The sequence below is a fragment of the Homo sapiens genome, chromosome 4 (genome assembly GCF_000001405.40).
Source record: "Homo sapiens chromosome 4, GRCh38.p14 Primary Assembly".
Lineage (NCBI taxonomy): Eukaryota > Metazoa > Chordata > Mammalia > Primates > Hominidae > Homo > Homo sapiens.
In genome coordinates this window covers 183,945,609-183,962,555 of record NC_000004.12, presented here as the reverse complement: position 1 = coordinate 183,962,555, position 16,947 = coordinate 183,945,609, and the positions used below count along the sequence as shown (strand labels likewise).

The 16,947-nt window shown below is 42.1% G+C and overlaps 1 protein-coding gene across 3 annotated transcripts in view; it reads right to left on the bottom strand.

Moving 5' to 3' along the window:
• Positions 1-16,947, bottom strand: part of STOX2 (storkhead box 2) — a 225,509-nt gene that overhangs the window by 60,975 nt on the left and 147,587 nt on the right. The window lies entirely within an intron of this gene.

Below are 16,947 nucleotides of genomic sequence, written 5' to 3'. Positions count from 1 at the left end.
TGCTCCTCTTCAAGGGGGCTTTCAAAATAGTAAAAAGCTCATGAAATAGTAAATTAAACAGAACATCACTTTACCTTTCACTTCTACTTAATCTTTAACGTATTAATTTTGCATTTGTTAGATGCTTTAAAATGACTTAATAATGAAGATTTTGCCATATCATAATCTGACCACAGAGACATACTAAATCACCTAAATATAAAAGATTAGAATTTTGCCACTTAAGAAAAACGATTACTATATAGTTACACAAAATAAAGTTGTCTTCCTATGACGATTAAGAAATGTGATTTCTACATTTTAAAGTAAGGGAATCTTTACAGCCTGCGAGTCAACAAAGATAACAAATCCTGCTTATAACAATGGAACTGCACTACAGAGGATCCAATCTTATGCAAACTGAGTCATTAATGAACCTAAAAATTGTTTAATTAGAAAAGCATGTTTGAAATTTGAAACTACACAATTAACCCATCTGCCAGAGAAATGAAGGTAACAGAACAATCAAATGTTTATAGAGAAAAAGTGCCTGTCTCATCAACAGGTGGATTTCTCTTCATGGGGTCACCGCACCCTGCTTTGTTTTAGACAAAGGACTCCAGCCCACTTCAAAGGCCTCTCCAACTGTGGTCTCAGCACAAGCTGTCTGGCTTTGGCATTTGTGCCAGGAGATAGAATCAACATCTTGGTAAAAGTCACAACCCAAGATCCTTTTTGTGCTACAAATATTTTGAACCAATTATTTAAAAACCTAGCTATGCTATCACATTTATGTATCTTTGGTAAAGTCTTTCTTTACAAAGCCATATAAACGGAAACCATATAGAGGGGTAGAAATAAGCCAAGAATACTACCTACTGGGTACAGTGTACACTATCTGGGTGATGGGCACACTAAAAGCCCAGACGTCACCACTGTGGAAGATACGCATGTAACACAATAAGATTTAGGGGTACTGCACTTGTACCGCTGAATCTAAAACATTAAAAAATGAATATATAAAAGAATAAAGCAAGGGTGAAGCGCTGCAAAGCTGGCTACAGATTCTTGCTAGCTGGCCTTGTATTTGGTGAACGGAGGTAGCTGGGCTGACGATCATCCAGCTTCCTCACATGCCGGTGGCCTGACCTCACATAAAGCAAGGTGGCTGGCAGAGTCCACCGTTCTATGCAGCAGCAGCAGCAGCAGCAGCAGCAGCAACCATCACTTGTCGTTCGATGTGTTTTTATTCTTTGTTTATGCTTTTAAAGGCTTATAAATTTTTATGAACTGTTTGAGGGGTAAATACATTGGGGTGGCAATATGACAGCTCGGTGAGCTCTGTCCAAAAGCTTGCTCACATGCTTCCCATTTGTGACACGATGAACCAGATAGCCCAACTCAACTATGGTATGTGTCCCCCCTAGCGACACATACCTTAGTTGGAGACACTGCCTTAACCTTTCCAGGGCATTGGGTTACTATTTATGAATGTGATAAAACATTCTCTAACCAACCGACAAAACCCTGGAGAGCATCCAAGTCGCTGTGTCACAGAGAACCAGGGGTAGGGCTGAGGGGTGTAGCTCATGTGTCTCTGTCACATCAGCACCTTGATGTATTTGTTTCACAAACCACCATAAACATTTCCAGATCTTTGCGTCTGTAAACACAGCTTCCCTTTACAGCTTTAAGTTGAAACTGTCAGAGCATTATTCAGCAGATAGTTTTGGAGCAATCAGATATTATGGTCAATTAATGAAAGACTATAATATCAATATTAGGATATAAACCAGCCAATTTCAAGGAATCTAAAAATGAACTAAACCTCCTGACCAAGCAAATCCGACACTCTTTACATCCCCCTTTATGGCCCTTACGACTCATTATAGATAAAAGGCTTTAAAAAGTAATCAATGCCAAAATATCCTCTAGAAATGAACAAGTTTGCTTACCCAATGTAAATGCACTTTAATGTATCATTTATCCACCAATAGATATTGTCACTGATGCCAGCAATCAAATGAAATGTTGACTCTGAGCAGAATGACTAATATGGAGGGTTATCTCTTTTTTTAGAATACGCTTGAGATTCTCTATGCAGCATACACACGTGTTAAGTTATCTATAATATACACATGCACATATAAAAGATTGAATAAAGGCAGCTGTAAAACTTCCTAACATGTTACAGTCGGTAATTAACGCAAATCGGAATGAAAACACTCTAGACTGCAGTCTTTTGGAGGCAGGAGCTCATGATCCCCAAAGATTCAGAAGCATTACCTCATTGCAGCCTTGAGACAAGCTGAGCATTCACTCTAGGTCTTACCCAGCATGCACCGGTTCACACAAAGACAACAGAGGCGTGACCAATCACATTGTGGCTAGCAGGCACTGTTTCAAAGCGCTCTCCCAATATTACCCATTGACATGCTTGCTGGCAGCCTGCTGAACTTGTCGTCATGACAACACATCCCAGCTGCTCACGGAGGCTTGTTATATTACTTTTCCTTTTCACCACTCACTTAGCTAATTAAAAATTTAGAACTATGTTTTGCATGTTGGATGCAAACTGAAACAATGCAGGTTCCTTTTTTCTTTTCTAGTCTCTATTTTTTTTTCCAATGGAGCTTTTAAAAATGCTGGGAAAAGCAAATTGAAGGACACTCCCATGAAGTCCCAATATAACCAATCAATAGAGAGACTGCATGTAGCTCCAGCCAGATGGAATTTGTCGCTAAACCTACTCCGCAGCAAAGCAAATCCAAATCATGAACATCACTGAAGATGTTCTTCCTGTTCTGAAATCTAGAAGCCAATTCAGCATAGATATTTATGTTGAAATATTCACATTATTCTTGGTCAAAATGTTCTTTCAATATTTTTATTTAACATGATTCTGATGTAAAACAGCTCTACCCATAATTCCACAATGCAAGCAGAGTAAATAAATAAATAAATAAAGCACAGCGAGAAGATCTTGTGAAAACTGCCAATATGGCAAGTATTAAAGGAGGTTCCTGGTAAAAAGCATGCCCGCAAACCTGACACATGTTTTAGATTTGATCACCAAAATGCACCACTGCGGGGGAAGGGGAGGAACGGCAGCCTTGCAGTGGAAAAACCATGGAAAGAAAATGCCAGCTTTTGTTTACCAAAGCATGAGAAATAAATTAAACCTCTCAAAGTGTTTCGAAGGCGATGGCTGCCTCACGAATATCACCTTTTTGAAAACCCCCCCTTCCGCCCTGAGTTAGACCTTCCTAACTGGCGTTGATACCAAAGGCATTCTTAGAATTCTAAGGTAAAAATTTGTCTTCAGATTTCAGATTTCCACATAACACATTTAACAGAGTAGAAAGAAAATGAAAATTCGAAGCTATGTTCATTGTAAATAAGCAGAGATAGGAGACATCAAAGTGGCTTAGAAAATCCAAGTGTTACAGCTGAGGGGAGAGGTCTGCACTAATTTCAATGAAATGAGAACACCGAGACATCAAAAACATGCTGAGAGAGCTGGCGTGCCTTCTGCCTCTTCCCAGGTTAGTCTCCTAATTTTTTTCAGTCTGAAATAATCCAGGACTGTCTGATTTGTAGCATTCAGTCCTCAAGCACAGTGCAAATGTATCCACAGAGAGCCTGGCCTATTCTCTCCAGAACTGCCCACATCCCTGAATTTTCAGGTCTACCGTCAATATCACTGAAAAGGAGTCCCACCCACTGAGAGAGTTAGGAAGAGAAACTTCAAGGAAGCCGTACAGAGTTCTAATTGCCAGTGAGGGATACTGGAGGAGTGCGGGCCCGGGACACCGAGGCAGACATCATGAGCAGAGCTACTTGGGGTGTTAAAGGTAAATACTGCTTATTCTCTGTCTTCTTACTTCAAGTAACCAACAGACGGAAGATCTAAGATGGGCTTTTCAGTTAAACATGGCAGACTGCAAACAGTGTCTCCCCAACTCTCACCAAAATGACAGTAGGTGGAATAGAAAAGGAGAAGAGAATGAGAGGGAAGATGAAAGCAGATAAGTCATGAAATAATTTTGGAAGTTGGAAAAGCAGATGGATGAGAAGTAGCTGAATTACAGGAGTGAAGAAAGTATAAATATATATACAAGAGGAAAAGCCAACCACAGAGGGTGGTATGGGTATAGTAATTCTAAAATTACTATTTTATATATATGGTATTTTATATATATGGTATATATGGTGTGACTGAGAAAATTAATCATGAGAGGAGACAAAGAGCCCAGTGATATCTCTATGAACTCCTGATTTTATATGTATATTTCTCCTAGCTCCGTCCACTGAAAAGCTCAGGAGGCAACGCCACCCCAGTACAAAGAGCTCCCATAGCATTCACGATCTTGGGTTGTAAATACCATTCTACCATTCCCCCTGAAAGAAACCAGGGTGCCTTATTCATGATCTTGGGTTCTAAATACTATTCTACCATCCCCCCTGAAAGAAACCAGGGTGCCTTATTCACGATCTTGGGTTGTAAATACCATTCTACCATCCCCCCTGAAAGAAACCAGGGTGCCTCATTCACGATCTTGGGTTCTAAATACCATTCTACCATCCCCCCTGAAAGAAACCAGGGTGCCTCATTCACGATAGTGGGTTCTAAATACCATTCTACCATCCCCCCTGAAAGAAACCAGGGTGCCTTATTCACTCTCTTGGGTTCTAAATACCATTTTATCATCCCCCCTGAAAGAAACCAGGGTGCCTTATTCACGATATTGGGTTCTAAATACCATTCTACCATCCGCCCTGAAGGAAACCACGGTGCCTTAGAGAAATAATTGATCATCACAAATAGGTCCAAGGCAGGAAAAACATAGGTGAACATGGAACATCATTTAGTGTCAGAAAAGGCTCAAAAACTGATGAGGACACCTCAAAAGACACGGGGACAAGATTGAAAGGATTTCTGTGGTCAAATCGGGAACCAGTTCAGCATAGAATACCATGCCTGCAAAAGACTATAACCCACTGAATAAAAAGAAATCCATGAGTCCATTATGGCACAAAAACAAACAAAAAATTATAGAGTGCTTAGAAAGGACAGTGCTTATTTTCGTTCAACAAATGAACATCAATTCATAACTTTAGAAGAAACTATCGAATTCGAATATCACATTTGTAACCACCATTGCAACAAGTGATTAAAGCAAGAATTACTGATGCATGATAAAACCACAGGGTCAAAGGCTGTTGGAAAACAAGCTATTCATACAGCCTCAAAATATCAACAGATTATTTTTAATTACAAAAAGAAAAAGACAATGGAGAAATCAGGCTGCCACCACCATAACCAAATGATCAAACTTAGTATCATCAATGAGACAAAAAGCCACCACGTGCCTCCCAGTGTTTTTTCTTTTATTATTATTATTATTATTATTATTATTATTATTATACTTTAAGTTTTAGGGTACATGTGTACAACATGCAGGTTTGTTACATATGTATACATGTGCCATGTTGGTGTGCTGCACCCATTAACTCATCATTTACATTAGGTATATCTCCTAATGCTATCCCTCCCCCCACCCCCACCCCACAACACTGTGTGATGTTCCCCTTCCTGTGTCCAGAACACCACACAACTTACACAGTATTCTTGCAAAAAAATGCTTAATCTAAATCTAACCATGGAGAAATAATTGGACTTCAAACTGAGGAATATTCTGCAAAACAATTGGCCTGTAATGCTCGAAAAAATCAGTTTCATAAAATGCAAAAGGAGGTTGGAAAACTCTGACATTAAAAGAAGCTGAAGAAATGCAAGTCAATATAACATGTGATCCTTAGAGTTTGGAATTTAAATATAAGAATTTTAAAAAACAGTTATAGACGATATTATTGGGACAACAGAAAAAACGTGAATGTTAACTGCACACTAGAAATAGTATCATATCAATGATCAACTTTCTGAATTCAGTAATTCTAGTCTTATTATGTGTAAGAGAATGTCCTTGCTCTTGGGAAATGTACCTCTGAAACATTTAGGAAATGCAGCTCTAAAACATTAGTGCCATGATGCTTGCAACTACTCTCAAATGTACAGAAAATAGATACTAGAGATAGATAGATAGATAGATAGATAGATAGATAGATAGATAGATGAATGATAGAATGATAGATCGACAGATAGGTGATAGATAGATAGATAGATAGATAGATAGATAGATAGATAGATAGAACAAATGCAGCAAAATGTTAACAATTAGTAAATCTAGGTGAATAGCAGACTAGTGTTCCTTTCATGTACTTTGTAACTTTTCTGTCACAAGAAATAAATTAAAAGCTGGTGGGAGGAAAGAAGGCTGCAAAGTCTCTCAAATTCAGGTATTGTTAACGGCGAGGTGTAAAACAGGACTGAAAGCAGAACTATTGTTTGCAAAACTTTCTAAGGAGCATTTAGACACTCAGTCCTATTCCTTCATCTAATACAGTTACCTCTCAACCTAGGCAGACGGCAGCAATTTTATATACTGGAGAGGTTAACCCACAGGTTGTTAACTTAGGGATACCAAGCATAGCTGAAAGGAGAAATCAGTTACTGAATGAAATAGGGTTATGTGAAAAATCATATGCCTTACTCTCCCTCTGGACTGCTGTCACACTCTGGAGCCTGGTAGACTCTTCCAGGGAAACTGGCGCAAGAGAAAAGCCCAACCATTATCCTCTACAGATCGCTCTGCAGGCAGGCCCACGAGGGATAAGCCCACCTCCCACAGAACTTCCAAGCAACACTTTAGTGCCTCCAGAGATCAAAACAAAGCAAAAACTAGAAAAAAAAAAACTTTAAAGAAGCGGATGCAAGGCACAGAACAGAACAATCCTCTCCCAAACTCCCAAAATTAATATTCCCAGGAAGCTACTAGAGATGTGGCCCAGCAAAATCGGGAAATAAATCCAGGAACAGGAAGACATGGGGCCTAGAAGACAGAGGATCCAACACAGGAATGGTGAAAAGAAAACTCCCAGATATCAGCTGTTAGCCAGCCTTAAAAGCTACTAGTCCCGATCAGAGGAGGAGGACAGGGCGCTCTCAAAGCTAAGTCTCCAAGAACAGGGAGGAATACCTAGATTGCCTGAGATACTAGAGTACTTGGGGAAAAAAATTCTGGTGGGAATCTGGCACTTCTGATGAGCACTGGGGAAAAAGTTAAAGGCTATTTTTTAAAATCTATGCAATTTTTTAAAAAGGCAATCATTAACTGCAGACAAAACGAATGGCTGTGTAAGGAAAGTAAGTGTATTCATAGCACAATACTTGGCCCTTCAAAGAATAAAAGTTATGTAGTCATCATTAATACCAATACTGATTATTGATTTATCTGTAAGTTCTTGTACATGCGGAAGATAAAGGGAGGTGAGGTGAGTACATAAGGAAGCTAAATTTCCCTTAGGCTACCAGGAAGAGAAAAGATAAAATCCAAAGTAATAAACCAAGATAAAGCATTACAAGCACATTTAGAAATTAGATACATGCCAAGGAAACAACTAGAGGAGTCTGAAGAGATTACCTCTGAGAATGAGAATCCAGGATTGGTTGGGGGGCCGGGCGTGGTAGTTCAAGCCTGTAATCCCAGCACTTTGGGAGGCCAGTCTGGCCAACATGGTGAAACTCCGTCTCTACTAAAAATACAAAAATCAGCTGGGTGTGGTGGTGCACGCCTGTAATCCCAGCTACTTGGGAGGCTGAGGCAGGAGAATCACTTGAACCAGGCAGGCAGAGGTTGCACTGAGCCGAGATCGCACCACTGCACTGCGGCCTGGGCAACACAGTGAGACTCTGTCTCTAAATACATAAATAAATAAATAAATATTGGTGGGGAAGCGATCAGGCAATTGTTATTTTTCATTATGCTAGACAGTAGTGTGTGTGATGTGTGTGTGCATTTTTGACTTCTTAAATTATGTAAATAATTACCTTTGTAAAAGTAAAAATTAATTATAAAAACAAAAGCGGGCTTGGCGTGGTGGCTCAAGCCTGTAATCCCAGCACTTTGGGAGGCCGAGGAGGGTGGATCACTAGGTCAGGAGTTCGAGACTAGCCTGGCCAACATGGTGAAACCCCGTCTCTACTAAAAATACAAAAAATTAGCCAGGTATGGTGGTGGGCGCCTGTAATCCCAGCTACTCAGGAGTCCGAGGCAAGAGAATCGCTTGAACCTGGGAAGCGGAGGTTGCAGCGAGCCAAGATCATGCCACTGCACTCCAGCCTGGGTGACAGAGTGAGACTCCATCTCAAAAAAACAAAAACAAAAACAAAAAACAAAAAAACCCTAATGAATAGCACAGGCTTGGTAGGGCAGAAATCAATCCGCCAGTGAGACCTTTTTGAGTTCCTCCCACGGGCCCTGCAACGTGACAAGAAGTGCTCCACGGTGCAGTGGATGTTCTTTTAGTTTCTTTTTTCATGTTATTTTTAAAGAAGCATTAATTACAAAAATTAGTTTTTATCAAGGACTAAAGAAATTTACCCGAATGACGACGGAAGGGGTGTTGTCACATGAAACCACCTTCAATGAGAATTAGAGGCCCACAGTCTTAGCTCTGCAAGAGTAAAGCAAATTTCACTCACTCATGTCGCATACATCTATTCAGAACCACTTTCCGGCTCCCTCACACACCAGCTGTAGGACTCTGGGCAAGTTTTGAACCTCCTAATGTCTATAAAATGGGTGTAAGGTCGAGTGTGGTGGCTCATGCCCATAATCCCAGCACTTTGGGAGGCTGAGGCAGGTGGATCACTTGAGGTCAGGAGTTCAAGACCAGCCTGGGCAACATGGTGAAATCCCGTCTCTACTAAAAAGACAAAAATTAGCTGGGCATGGTGGTGCACGCCTGTAATCCCAGCTACTCGGGAGGCTGAGGCAGGAGAATTGTTTGAACTCGGGAGGCGGAGGTTGCAGTGAGCCCAGATCCTGCCACTGCACTCCAGGCTGGGCGATTAAGCCAGACTCAGTCTCAAAAAAAATCAGGGATAATAATCATGTATACCTCATAAATAGTGTGTGGCACAGAAAAAATGCTCAAGCAAGTTAAGTGCTACCTACTATGAATGGGCCCCAGTCTTGCCACTGGGTACAACAGGAACAAGGGGCACCCCTGCCTCCAGGACCTCTAGTGGGAGGGGAAGGTGGCAATGAATGACAATGCAAAGTGGTAAAGGGGCAACCAGGTGTGGGGCTAGGAGGTATGCTCCCAATACCACCCTTGCCTTCATGACCCATATACCACCCCTGTGTGAAAAATCTGCCTTTCCCAAGGAAATCCCATAAAACACTAGTCCCAGAATACACTTCTTTAAAAAAAAAGTTTTGTGGTAAAATCCATCTGGGAAACACCACACTTTTTTTTTTAAAATTATACTTTAAGTTCTGGGGTACATGTGCAGAACATGCAGGTTTGTTACATAGGTATACATGTGCCACGGTGGTTTGCTGCACCCATCAATCCATCATCTACATTAGGTATTTCTCCTAATGCTATCCCTCCCCCAGCCTCCCACCCTCTGACAGGCCCCAGTGTGTGATGCTCCCCTCCCTGTGTCCATGTGTTCTCATTGTTCAGCTCCCACTTATGAGTGAGAACATGTGGTGTTTGGTTTTCTGTTCTTGTGTTAGTTTGCTGAGAAAGATGGTTTCCAGCTTCATCCATGTCCCTCCAAAGGACATGAACTCATCCTTTTTTATGGCTGCATAGTATTCCATGGGGAAACACCACACTTTATACCTGCGTTGGTATAGTCACCACTCATGAGCATATGTAGGACCCTAAGGAGTCCTACAGTAAAGAAAATGGTGCAACTTTGTTTAATTCAGCATTTCCCAAACTAATGTGACATGCACCTCTTTTTTTACTCAAGAGGCCCAAGTATCACAAAATTGGTGCTCCACAATCACATTCTGGCAGTCACTGCCACTGATTTTAAGGCTGTCAAGATGGAGAAATTTTTATTCTGTTCTTTCTATTTCATAGCTTTTCAAATTCCTTTTTGATTTACCCCCAATTATTTGGACAATTTTTAAAGTCTCAAATGTTTACAATGAAAATATTATTTAATAGGAAACTCCCCTAACTAAACTACTCTTGTGGAAAGGAATCTAAATATATTTGTGAGATCTGTATATACTTCCGACAAGAATCACATAGTTGAGTTCAAATAATTCAGAATGAAGAAAAGGTTTCAATAACATTTTTAGAACAAAAGTAAAATCAGTGATGGATTCTTTTCTTTTTTCTTTAGAAGAATAGTATATGAATCCTGGATAATTTGTGAAATGAGATGTGTTACGGTTTTCAAAGTACGCAGAACAAACCAACACCATAAAAAAAGTAGCATGTGGGTTCTGCAGCAGTTTCCCTGTTTTGAAATATGCATGACTGGGATCATTTTATATTCACTTGCTTCTCTTGCCTTTTGAGAAAACTCACAAATACATTCTTTCTGTGCCGAAGTTTTCCAAGAAAGAGAGTGTGGAAGTCCGGTGTTGTTTATCTCACCGCAAACAAAACCACTTTAATGTGGGGAAACTACAAAAGGCTAGAGGGAGAGAGCATCGGAGAGTGAAGAGAGTCGCTCACCCACTTTTTATTTATTTATTTAGAGACAGAGTCTTGCTCTGTCACCCAGGCCAGAGTGCAGTGGTGCTATCTCGGCTCACTGCAACCTTCTGTCTCCTGGGTTCAAGAGATTCTCCTGCCTCAGCCTCCTGAGTAGCTGGAACTACAGGCATGCACCACCACGCCCAGCTAATTTTTTTGTATTTTTTGAGTAGAGACGGGGGTTTCACCATGTTGCCCAGGCTGGTCTCGAACTCCTGACCTTGTGATCTGCCTGCCTTGGCTTCCCAAAGTGCTGGGATTACAGGCGTGAGCCACCGCACCCGACCACTCACCTACTTTTAGAAAACTGGATAAGAGACTGTCTTCCTTGCCGAGCGCAGCGGCTCACGCCTGTAATCCCAGCTGCTTGAGAGACTGAGGCGGGAGAATCGCTTGTACCCGGGAGGTGGAGGTTTCAGTGAGCTGAGATCGCGCCACTGCACTCCAGCCTGGGCAACAAGAACGAAGCTCCGTCCCAAAAAAAAAAAAAAAAAAAAAAAGAGAGAGAGAGACTGTCGTCCTCTAAATCATGGATGAAAATATCTATGAACAGGCAGCAACATGGACTTCCCTTCCTCTCTCTAGTCTTGCTCCTCTTCCCACCTCTGTCATCCCAAATCCTTTCTCCACACTGCAGGAAGAATGAGCTCCTAAAGTGCCTCAAGGTGATCCTGTCACTGCTGAGCAAAGCCTTTGCACTACTGTCTTTTTTTTTTTTTTCTTTTTTTTTGAGACGGAGTCTCGCTCTGTCGCCCAGGCTGGAGTGCAGTGGCGCGATCTCGGCTCACTGCAAGCTCCACCTCCCGGGTTCACCCATTCTCCTGCCTCAGCCTCCCGAGTAGCTGGGACTACAGGCGCCCGCCACCACGCCCGGCTAATTTTTTTGTATTTTTAGTAGAGACGGGGTTTCACCGTGTTAGCCAGGATGGTCTCGATCTCCTGACCTCGTGATCCGCCCGCCTCGGCCTCCCAAAGTGCTGGGATTACAGGCGTGAGCCACCGCGCCCGGCCGCACTACTGTCCTTCTTAAACAAACTAGGGACTTCATGACGTGGGTTGTGGGGGCTTTCTGCTCTGACCCCAGTGAACATCCCTAACTCCATCTCTTGGCAGCTGCTCCCTCCTACCAGCCTGCGTTCCCACAAAACTGTGAGCTCCTGAAATCAGCCCCCTGCAGGCTCTCTGCAAGCTGTTCTCTGGCTGCAGCGAGGCTGCTCTTTTCCTTGTCTGGAGTCCCCAGCAGGCTGTGAGTTCTGTGGCTCCCCGGCCTCATGCGCTATTGCATGCCCAACCATCCTGCTCCATGTCATTCCAGCCCCTCGGTACAGTGATCTTTGACAAACTCGGCCTGCCCATGCCACTTCCCCCATTAAGCCTTCCAGTGGCTTCCTGGGGCACTGTCTCTTCTTTCCATCCTGTCTCTCCTGATCTGCCCAGGAGCTCCAGCCACACTGGCTCCCCATTACTTTCTGCTGCCCTTGGCCTTCACACTCCCTGCCCCAGGAGCATCCTGCCCAGGCCAGGTCCCCTTCTTCTGAACCTCCTAGCAGCCTGTTTTATTTCCTTCATGTTTGAGTCTGAGTCTGTCTCTCTCTCTCTCTCCCACTAATCTGTAGGTCCATGAAGGCGGAGACCATTTCAACTTTGCTCACTACCCGATATCCTTGGATAATCCCCCACACCTAGACCACACCCAGGCACACAATAAGCGTCTGTGAACATGTGCTGAATATATGAATCAATGAATGAATGACCAAAGTGTCTTAATCTACCAAGAGAAATAAAAACTAAAGGATTTCAGCTTTAGCTGTCCCTTCTCTGGAATAGCAATGTAATTTAATAAGAGTGTAATGCAGTTAGCAGATTAATCCAATGCAGTTAGCAAATCAATAAAAATGCTGTACAATAGTGAGAAGAACATGCCTAAAATGAAAACTTTATGACTTTTAATTCATGGTGTTAACTGTCAGTAGGAACCCTCAAACCTCAGGGGGACATTGTGAGAAAAGTGGGGAAGAGGTGACATTGCTAGAGGAGGGATACAAATGCCGAGAGAATGGAGCATCCACACATCAAAGCAGAAAAATGGGAAGCATGACTTGGCTAAATGTCTAAACGGATAAGACCACCAGCCTGAAACAACAAGCACTCAAAAAAATATGATCTAAAAATATAAAAATATCTTGCAAAAATCTAAAGTGTATTGGTATTTAAATTAAGAAAGTTTTTGTTTGTTTGTTTGATTTTGATACGGAGTCTCGCCCTGTCGCCCAGGCTGGAGTACAATGGCACGATCTGGGCTCACTGCAACCTACATCTCCCGGGTTCAAGCGATTCTCCTGCCTCAGCCTCCTGAGTAGCTGGGATTACAGGCACCTGCCACCACGCCCAGCTAATTTTTGTATTTTTAGTAGAGATGGGGTTTCATCATGTTGGCCAGGCTGGTCTCGAACTCCTGACCTTGTAATCCGCCCACCTCGGCCTCCCTAAGTGCTGGGATTACAGGCATGAGCCACCACGCCTGGCCTAAATTAAGAAAGTACAGCAAATTACACATCCAAACTATTACTATTTTAAGGGCAGTTTCTTAAAATCAAAGACAAAAAGAGAAAAAATGCTACCTTTGAATTTCCATGTTTAAAGAATTAATACAGTGATTGATTTAAAATTAGCCTGTGTATTTGTTTTGTAATTTGGCTCCTGAGTGTTTACAACTTGAGATCATTTCTGAGATCTCCTCTCTTATTGTTTCTTCCTCTTCATTTAGTGCCTAATCTTCGTTTGATTAGTGGTTGTGAACACTGCTTTCCCCACCTATTATACCAATAGCTTCAATTTCTCCATGAGAAGACTAAAAAAAAAATATGAAAACTATTAATGCCACTACTGTGTGGACCTCTGCTTAGTGGATATCACTTATTATTTTTCTTATAGTCTCCAGGAATTAGCATCCTTGTTTCAGCAATGGATAGATTACAGCCAAGAGAAAGAAAGATCTAAGATTTGCCGAGCACCCTCTAAGTATCAGAGACAATACTTCACATGTTCTCTCACTTAATCATAATAGCAACCTGGTAAGTGAGGTCTCATTATTGCGATTTTAAGAATAAGGCAGCCCGGCACAGTGGCTCACGCCTGTAATCCCAGCACTTTGGGAGGCTGAGGCGGGTGAATCACCTGAGGTCACGAGTTTGAGACCAGCCTGACTAACATGCTGAAAGCCCATCTCTACTAAAAGTACAAAAATTAGCCAGGTGTGGTGGTGGGTGCCTGTAATCCCAGCTACTTGGTAGGCTGAGGCAGGAGAATCGCTTGAACCCGGGAGGCAGAGGTTGCAGTGAGCCAAGATCGCGCCACTGCACTCCAGCCTAAACTCTGTCTCAAAAAAAAAAAAAAAAAAAAAAGGATAAGGCATTAACAAGTTAACAGCTTGTCCAAAGGCTGCATATTAGAGAAAGAGCCCCAAGAGCACCTGGATCCCTGCCTGGTGATTATTCCCCAAACTAGGTGTTGAATTGACTAATAGAAATATGGAGCTACTGGAAAACATTCCACCTGCCAATTTTAAGATGCTATGTATCAGTTTAAGGACAAATAATAAATGCGCAACCTAAAAATTGATTCTCTATTGGCTTCTTCTTTTTGAAAGGAAATAAGCCTCCACATACTTGTCAAACATCTCTACTTACTCTTTTTCGTGTTTTTTTTTTTTTTTTTTTTTTTTTTGAGATGGAGTTTTGCTCTTGTTGCCCAGGCTGGAGTGCAATGTCATGATCTCGGCTCACTGCAACCTCCACCTGCCAGGTTCAAGTGGTTTACCTGCCTCAGCCTCCTGACTAGCTGGGATTACAGGCGTGAGCCACCACGACCAGCTAACTTTTTGTATTTTTAGTAGAGACAGGGTTTCACCATGTTGGCCAGGCTGGTCTTGAACTCCTGGCCTCAGGTGATCTGCCCACCTCAGCTTCCCAAAGTGCTAGGATTACAGGTGTGAGCCACTGCACCCAGCCTCTACTTACTCTTAAATGTAAGTTTGCTACCATGGAGCCTTGTTGTAACAACTTAGGATAGCACAGCATCAAGCAAAAAGCCAACTGGTTCTAACACATGCTAACTGCAGTAATATTAGTATGTACAAAATTGTATTGAGACACAGAGGAGGCACCGTTCCACTCTGCTTGGGAGAACCCTGACAAACACAACAGAGAAGATGACAAGGAAGGAGTCTTCAGGAAGGAGGAAGGGGAGGTGTGTTCCAGGCAGAGGAAACAGCCTCTGGAACACAAAACACAGAGTGAACATTTATTGAGGACTGAGCAATAAGGCAACCATTACTTTAGTTAATCCTCCCAGCAAGGCAATGATGTAGTGCTACTATGATTTGCTTTTTCCAGCTAGGGAAACAGAAGCACAAAGAAATTAAATAATGTATATAGCTAGTGGAAAAGTGGAGTTCTGTGTAGAACCAAAGGGCCAATGCAACAGGGCATATTTTGAGATGTGTATTGCCTGAGAAGCAAAGGACAGCCCCACCCCACAAACTAGATGGCTAATAAAGCAGAGAATGCCAAGGCCAACAACGAAATATTACACTCAGCCCTCTGCGAGCTCCATATCCAGCCAACCAACGATCAAAACTATGCGGAAAAAAATAATCAAAACTAACGATTAAGCAAAAAATAATAGAAATTTTAAAAATACAGTATAATGACTACTCACAGAGCATTTACACTGTATGAGGTATTATAAGCACATGTAGAATTAATTTAAAGTATACAGGAGGATGTGCAAGAGTTCACTGCAAATACAGTTATTTCTTGCTGTCTTAGGGAGCTGGTTCCAGGAGCCCCCTTGCCCCACCCCCCACCAGGATACCGAAATCCACGGATGGTCCAGACCTTTGATGTAAAGTGGTGTGGTGTTTGCATAGAACTTACCCACATCCTACATATATTTTAAATCATCTTTAGATTACTTACAAGACATAATACAACGTAAATACTATGTAAATAGTTGTAGGCAGGGCACAGTGGCTCACACCTGTAATCCCAGCACTCTGGGAGGCCAAGGAGGGGGTGGATCACAAGGTCAGGAGTTCGAGACCAGCCTGACCAACATGGTGAAACCCCCAACTCTACTAAAAATGCAAAAATTAGCTGGATGTGGTGGCACGCACCTGTAATCCCAGCTACTCAGGAGGGTGAAGCAGGAGAATTGCTTGAAGCTGGGAGGCGGAGGTTGCAGTGAGTTGAGATCATACCACTGCAGTCTAGCCTGTGCGACAGAGCGAGACTCCATCACAAAAAAAAAAAAAAAACCACAACTATGTAAATAGTTGTTACGTTATTTAGGGAATAACAACAAGAAAAAAAGTCCATATGTGTTCAGCACGAACGCCTTTTTTTCCAAATATTTTTGATCCACAGTTAGCTGAGTCCAAGGATGCAGAACCCACAGATATGGAGGACATTTTATACTAGGAACTTGAGCATCCTCAGATTTTGGTATCCATGGGGTCATAGGCCCAACCCCCCCTCCTCATGGACACCGAGGCATGACTGTACTTATTATTAAGTTCTTGCTGTGTGCTTAGCTCTTGTCACAGACATAAGCTCATTTAATCCTCCTGACAACAGTCACTGTGCGAGTGAGGAAACTGAGACTAAGAAAAGGCATGTAATTTGCCTGAAGTCGCACAGCAAATAAACGCTTGAAATGAAGTCAGTCTTCCTAGAAAGCCCATCATTTTAACCATGATGCTATCCTGCCATTTTATTAAACACTGAGAGGTCATCTGAATTAAAAAGTGTGACCCTGAATTCAGCCGACGTCTCGTATTTATTTGTTTTAGAACAAGACCTGTTAGACCTAGGAAACATTATTGCTTTCTTTCCAAAATCATTTACCCTGTGTGCCCATTGACATAGAAAATATGTTAAATTGTTCCCTTTAGAAACTGTAGTCCCAAGGGAGCTACGGACTACATTCACAATGGTTTTATTCAGATTTAGAACATTAAGCATTTCATGACTGAAGTTTTCTAAAGAGCTTAAAGAAATATATTCTAAAGGAGGATACGATGGCTACAGCCCTTCGCAAGGAGAGAGGAAATGATGTATCCCAGCAAAACAAACTGAAGGTAAAAGAACACACCGACTGAGGACAAGAGAGCATTTCCCAGCGTCTTAGAACCTGAATCAGTCTTCTTTCGTGGTGTGCTCAACGATGGGAAACAACTTTGCTGTACCCACGGTAAACGGATTTCCTCAGCCCTTTGCAACATTCGTAATCCCTCAACAAATGGAACCTGCTTTGTTTTCACAGAACTTTTTCTTT